Source organism: Homo sapiens, chromosome 14 (assembly GCF_000001405.40).
Source record: "Homo sapiens chromosome 14, GRCh38.p14 Primary Assembly".
NCBI classification, from domain to species: Eukaryota; Metazoa; Chordata; class Mammalia; order Primates; family Hominidae; genus Homo; species Homo sapiens.
The window spans coordinates 55,537,144-55,544,231 of record NC_000014.9 but is presented as its reverse complement, the minus strand read 5'-3'; the positions used below and the strand labels follow the sequence as shown (position 1 = coordinate 55,544,231).

Genomic DNA, 7,088 nt, shown 5'->3' with positions numbered 1-7,088 from the left:
GGAGAATTTGTATTATTTTAATTATTTTTATATACAGAAAACTCAACAGTGTACCTTTAACTCACTTTGGTGGCAAGTTCTTTAGCCTTTGCCTTTTCCATATGGGCAATGTGAGCCACAGACTTGGGACCCAGGGCCTTGCCTCCCCAGTGACGGCAGATCTCATCAGATCTGTCATTGTAATTGGTCCTGATAGCTTCCACCAGCTTAGCCAAAGCCCCTTTGTTTTCCGAGTTAACCTGTGTGAAAGCAGCATTGGTGCAGGTCTTCCTGTGGACTAGACATCCCAGCCTTGCCTTCCTTTTGATAACGCAGTAAGGGACCTCCATTTTATGGCACAGGGCAGGCAGGAAGACAACCAGCTTGATGGGCTCGACATCCTGTGCAGTCACCACGGGCTGAGCCTTCTTGTTCTCCACCAAGGTGGTGACGGTGTTAACTCCTGCTCGAAGGACCGGTGGTCTCTTAGTGGGGATGCCCCCTTTGCCCAGAGCTTTCTTCTCAGCCAGGGCCAACAGCCTCTGCTGCTTCTCTTGCTTTGTCTCTGGGCCAGCTTAAACAGCTGAGTAGCTGTTTGGCCTTCCAGGTCCTGGGTAAACTGGTTAATCGCAAGAGGCACTTTCAGCCGCTTATAGAGAATGGCTCTCTGCCCTCATATAGTGGGGCCATTTCACAAAACGAGTGAGCTCGCTTTCAGGCCGGATGTCCTGTCCGATGCCAGAATTCTTAGGCTTTTTCTCAAACAGGGATTCACCACTTTCTTGGCCTGCTGCTTCTTTACGACAGCAGAGGCCAGAGCCACCTTTTTGCCCTTGGCCTTCTTTTCAGCATCTTGGGTGGCAGGAGGAGAGAGCAATTATAGTTTTTTAAATTCCTAGTCAGATAATTCCAACATTCCTGTCATATCTGAGTCTGGTTCTGATGCTCATTCAGTCTCTTCAAACAGCATTTTTTGCCTTTTAGTATGCCTTTTAAGCTTTTGTTAAAGGTGAACATGGTGTACTGAGTTTTAAAAAAAAAAAGTAAAGTAAATAGGATTTTAGTAATGCAGTGGTAAGGTGTCTGGGCGGAGGGGGAGGAAGTGTTCTATAGTCCTACGATTAGGTCTCAGTTTTTATTGTTGTTGTCTTTCTTTTTTTTTTTTGAGACAGAGTCTTGCTCTGTCGCCCAGGCTGGAGTACAGTGGCGCAATCTCAGCTCACTGCAACCTCTGCCTCCCTGGTTCAAGCAATTCTCCTGCCTCAGCCTCCCAAGTGGCTGGGATTGTAGGCATGCACCACCATGCCTGTCTAATTTTTGTATTTTTAGTAGAGACGGGGTTTCACCACGTTGGCCAGGCTGGTCTCAAACTCCTGACCTCTGGTGATCCGCCCGCCTCAGCCTCCCAAAGTGCTAGGATTACAGTTGTGAGCCACTGCACCCAGCCTGGTCTCAGTCTTTTGTTGAGCCTGTGCCCCTGCACTGTGAACTTCACAAGTGCTTTTCAGGTGTTTTTCCTCTTAGGTGAGACAAGATAGCTAGAGGAGGCTGGAGTTGGGTCTTTCACTTCCCCCAGGTAGGTTAGGCCGTGATAAAGCCCCAGCAAGTAGGGCTCTGGTAAAATAGTTTCTCCTGAGGCAGGCCTTGTTAGGAAAAATAAAACGCTCTGGTGTATTTCAAAATGGTTTCTTTTTCCCCTCCCCCTGCCAGAAGCACAATATTTATGATCTAATATCGTATGTATAGTTGCAATGTTTTTGGCATTTATCTTGCTTGATTTTGAGCTTCCTGGATCTGTGGTTTGGTGTCTGACATTAATTTGGGGGAAATTCTCAGTCATTATTGCTTCAAATATTGTTCCTATTCCTTTATTATCCAATAACATTATCCGATATTTATTGTGAGGAGCTGGTAGAGTTCCCAGAAGTAAAACTCACAAAAGTGTGCCCCCATCCCCACCTTGACTGGGTCTCCCTGGAATTTTTAACTCTGAGAGCTGCCCACACTGAGCCTCTATTAATTCATCAATTACAGTTCAGTTATCCTGTCACTGGTTCCGCAGAGGTTTCTGCTCCAGTAAGTTGTGATTCTGCTTCTGCCTGTCTCTCTCCAATCTTTGAGGCAGCAGTTTGCCCTGTGATCTCACTCTCTGACAGATCTAAGAAGAGTTCTCGATTTTTCAGTTTGTTCAGCTTTTTACTTATTGTAAGGCCAGCGTGGTAACTTCTAAGCTTCTTATATGCCAGGTGGGAAACAAGAAGTCCTATCTAGGTTTTTTAAAAATTCACACATCATATGTAATTTATCTAAAATTGACACATATTACTTATATAGTAAAGAAAAAGGCTCATTTTTGCTTTTGTTTTTCCTGCTTGACATATGCAGTTTCTTCCTCAGTAAAGCTCAAGTCAAAGGCTTCTAAGGCTAGATTCTATATAAGGAGCAAACAGGATTTGGGAAATACTCTTCTACTATAGACCATGCTTTATCATAATGGCTTTTAAATTTGCATTTGTTGCCTCGTGACCACAAAATAGCTGTTGTGATTTCAGACATTATATCTCAATTCAAGGTACGAAGAGAGGAAAAGCAGCATAAGCCCCGTCTGTCCTTTTCACTAGGAAGACAGAAAATCCTCAACAAATCCTGCTTCAGTCTGGTTGACCAGACCTATGTTTCAGGGATGCTCCCAGCTACAAGAGGCTGGGAAAAGAAGCCTCTGAATGAAAATGTGATGGGCAGGCAAGAAAGGAATTGAGAATGGCTGCTGGGTTAGGCAATCCAACAGAACTTTATAATATTTGAAAATGGTATTAACCTTTCCTTCACATTATTGATTCATTCCTTCTGCACAGACAAGAATCAGACATTGACTAAGCTTATGAGTTTACTGTAACCCTGCTGACTCATAGTGTTTATTCAAAACCAATACCTTGATATTATCAACAGAGTCAGGACTGAGAGAAACTGTTTTTAATAAAACAATTTAAAGTTCTAGCAGGAGAAAACAGGGTTGTTTTAATCTCTACCAACCCCACTTTCCCACCTTATTAATTATACTTTTGGAAGATCTGGATAAGCCTACTCAATCTTCAAGTCTCATTAAATATTTCCTCTTTATTGAATCCTTCTCTAGATCGTAGATCAGTTTAAGAACTCCCTGCTCTATGTTCTCATAGGCCTCTGTTCTTCGCTTATCACAATACTAATGCTTTATTTCAATTCCTGATTAGAGTTCTGCCTACCTGACTAAAGAGCAGAGTTCATTGAAGTCAAGGATTGTCTTCCCTGTTCACTGCTGATATATAGTATAGACTTGTCAATAAATGTTTATTGAATGAATGAATGATTGCATCCCCCTTCCAACACCACCAAAAACTTCAAGATATCTATTATCCTATAATTGTCACACAGGGTCAAATTAGGACATCGAAACCACTCAGAATAGTTAAAGCAGAGGGAATTTACTACACTGACTTGATAACACAGGAGATAAAAGATGCTGAGACTGGATCTCAGCATCTGAGACTACCTGAGAAGACTACCTGAGAATGGATGTTACCTCAGATGGGCAGAGCAACAGCAGGAAGCTCTTAGGACCCTTGGGTTGGAGGGACTATATGAAAAACTAATATTACTACAACCCCAACGGGTCACAAATGTACAGCAGAAGTCCCAGTACAGTGTGGCTCACCTGGGTCCCCTATTTAGAGTCTCATAAGGTCAAAATCAAGATGTTGGCAGGGCTGCACTCCTTTCTGAAGGCTCTAGGTATGAATCTGCTTCCAAGCCCTTTCAGGTTGTTGGCAAATTCAGCTCCATGATAATGTAAGACTGTGGTCCCAGTTTCCTTTCTTTAGTGTCAAATAGGAGTGACTTTCAACCTCTAGAGGCTGCCCCCACATTCCTTGGTTCATGCCTCCCTTCATCTTCAGAGCCAGCAATGGCAGATCAAGTCTTTCTCATGCTTCCAATTTCCCGGACTTCCCCTCTGCCTTATCTCTCCTGCTCCCAGCCGGAGAACTCTCTCCTGTTTTAAGGGCTCATATGATTAGAGTGAGTCCACATGGCTAATTCACAATAATCTTTCCATCTCATAACCTTAATCACATCTACAAAGTCCCTTTTGCCAGGCAATGTGTGGACATCTTTGAGGAACCATTATTCTGGCTATAACAGCCTCCCATTAGTCAAACTCAGCTAGATTTCAGTTGGTACAAGGTGCTGAGAAACAGGCCTGCAGAGCAGGAGAAGAGTGAGGAATATATCTGAGGACAAGCAGGCTCAGTATCACTACATTTTAAGATGACAACATGTTTTTTCTTCTCAAACTTCGACTGGCCTAACAGATAATTGGCCTGATTTCAACTTGTCAAAGATAATGAATTAATCCCAATTACTATAAAAACAAACGAACAAAACCCACAGTGATGACATACCTGAAATTATATTAATTCAAATATAAGGCAATTGTCAATTGGCTTCCATTATCTGCCCAACCCTGATTCTCAAACAAGAGTCAGCGAAAATTATTATCTTCAGCAGAGGAATATGAAAATGAGGCCTAGGCCAGGGAGGGAAAATGCATACAATTCCAATCTCAAGAAGTGCAGAGTTTGAAGTGAGTCCCTGAGTCCACAGTATATTCTTGGCCCAGTCTCTGGATTAAGCCATCGAGATGAGAGCCAACTAACCCAGAGATTCCTGGAATCATTTTTGCTGTCCCAGAAGACTCAGCCAGCCACAGGACCCAGAATTGTCCCCAGAAATATTTATGTCAATAAACTGCTGCCATATGATATCAAACTCCAGCAGGGACCAGGATAGACTGGATAGCAGAGTCAAACTCTTAAAATTATCCAGGGCAATCAATGAACAACTCTACCTTGTTGTAATTTTGCACTCTGAATAGTTTTATTAACCACAAAATAACAAGACTGCATTTTGTACTGCTTAAGTTTTTGGACCACACAAGTTTCAGAGATGGTATTTACAGTATTTCAAAACTCAAACGATCATTTTTGGTAATCATCCTCCAGCATTCAACTTGCTTCTAATTAACAAGCCTGCATGGCAGCAGTGCCTAAAAGGGTTACTTCAACATTGAATTTTGTGAAAGCAACAAAAGAACTGTTGACAATAACAGAACTAGTACATGGAATGCTAACACTACAGTCAAGCATAATGAATACTATAGATGACCAATGTTGCAAGGATTCTGTCAGAAACACTCATTCCCTTCTGAGTGAAAACCTTTAGTGAGGTTGATATGACTGAGAATAGGCTCTACTCTGGTCCACTTTACATTTTGTACTGTCCAAACTCTGCTATGCCTCTCATCTCTTGTCTCACTCAGATCTGCATGCAGTAGGATGTCACTTTCTTGCATCCTTGACCTTTAGCAGAAATTCTCAGTCTTTGGTTGTTTAAAATTCACCTTGCTGGGCGCAGTGGCTCACATCTGTAATCCCAGCACTATGGGAGGGCGGATCATGAGGTCAAGAGATTGAGACCATCCTGGCCAACATGGTGAAACCCCATCTCTACTAAAAATACAAAAATTAGCTGGGCATGGTGGCACGTGCCTGTAGTCCCAGCTACTCAGGTGCCTGAGGCAGGAGAATTGCTTGAACCCAGGAAGCGGAGGTTGCAGTGAGCCAAGATTGCGCCACTGCACTCCAGCCTGGCGACAGAGCAAGACTCTATCTCAAAAATAAATAAATAAATAAATGAAATTCACCTTAAGAACAGTTCTCTTTTTTTTTTTTTTTTTTTTTTTTGAGACAGAGTCTTGCTCTGTCGCCCAGGCTGGAGTGCAGTGGCATGATCTCGGCTCACTGCAAGCTCCACCTCCTGGGTTCACGCCATTCTCCTGCCTCAGCCTCCCAAGTAGCTGGGACTACAGGCACCTGCCACCACCACACCTGGCTAATTTTTTGTATTTTTTTTAGTAGAGACAGGGTTTCACCACGTGAGCCAGGATGGTCTTGATCTCCTGACCTCATGATCCGCCTGCCTCGGCCTCCCAAAGTGCTGGGATTACAGGCGTGAGCCACTGCGCCTGGCCAAGGATAGTTCTTAAAGAAGTTTGTTCCTTTTAATACACCCTACAAATGCAGACTCCTGTTACCAAGTGCCCTGGAAATGAGGCTTCTCTCTCTTCTCATGGCCCAGGAGCATTCTCTTCTCTCTCATATGAACTCTGTGTTCTCTCTCCAGTGGTCTATAAAAAGATGCTCTCAGTTCCACTCTTTTGTGTTGCTACATTGTCAGCCACCAAAGAAAGGGTTAACTTCTGCTTTGATAGAAAGAGAAACTTTCTGATTGAGGTCTGAGTTGAAAACCAGTGCTTCTTAGGGCAGGAACCTGTGTTACATGATCTTTGAAGTTTAACACTTCAACATTTTTCCTGGCTGCTAAAGCTTGAGCTGTTTTTTAAATTTTATTTTAAAGTATACATACAGTAATATTTACTCTCTTTGCTATACAGTTTTTTGAGTTTTGACAAGTAAATAGAGTGTATAAACCACCATCACAATCAACATTCAAAACAGTTCTGTTGGCTGAGCGTGGTGGCTCGCACCTGTAATCCCAGCACCTTGGGAGGCCGAGGCAGGCGGATCACCTGAGGTCAGAAGTTTGAGACCAGCCTGGCCAACATGGAGAAACCCTGTCTCTACTAAAAATACAAAAAATATCCAAGCATGGTGGCGGGTACCTGTAATCCCGGCTACTTGGGAGGCTGAGGCAGGAGAATCACTTGAATCCAGGAGGTAGAGGTTACAGTGAGCCGAGATTGTGCCACTACACTCCAGCCTAGGTGACACAGTGAGACTCTGTCTTAAAAAAACAAAACAAAACAAAAACAGTTCTGTCATCCCAAAAATCTTCTTGAGGCTGCTCCTTCATAATCAACCTTAACTCCAGCAACCATGGATCTGTTCTTGATTCCTGTAGTTTTGCCTTTCCAAGGATGTTATAGAAATGAAATCATACAGTGATATATGAAAGATACAGCCTTTTGAGTCTTTCTTTCACTAAGCATAATACATCAGAGATTCATTCATGTTGTTGTATATATCAATAGTTGGTTCGTTTTTTATCACTGA

General features: G+C 42.8%; 1 pseudogene, besides 1 other annotated feature; it reads right to left on the bottom strand.

Annotated features, from left to right (window-relative positions):
* Window positions 1-856, bottom strand: RPL7AP4 (ribosomal protein L7a pseudogene 4; annotated as a pseudogene).
* Window positions 6,135-6,244: a silencer, noted in NCBI's record as "silent region_5784". NCBI's record gives its function as "represses an Ori minimal core promoter by ATAC-STARR-seq in GM12878 lymphoblastoid cells {active_cell/tissue: GM12878}" and the evidence as "EXISTENCE:reporter gene assay evidence [ECO:0000049][PMID:35858748]".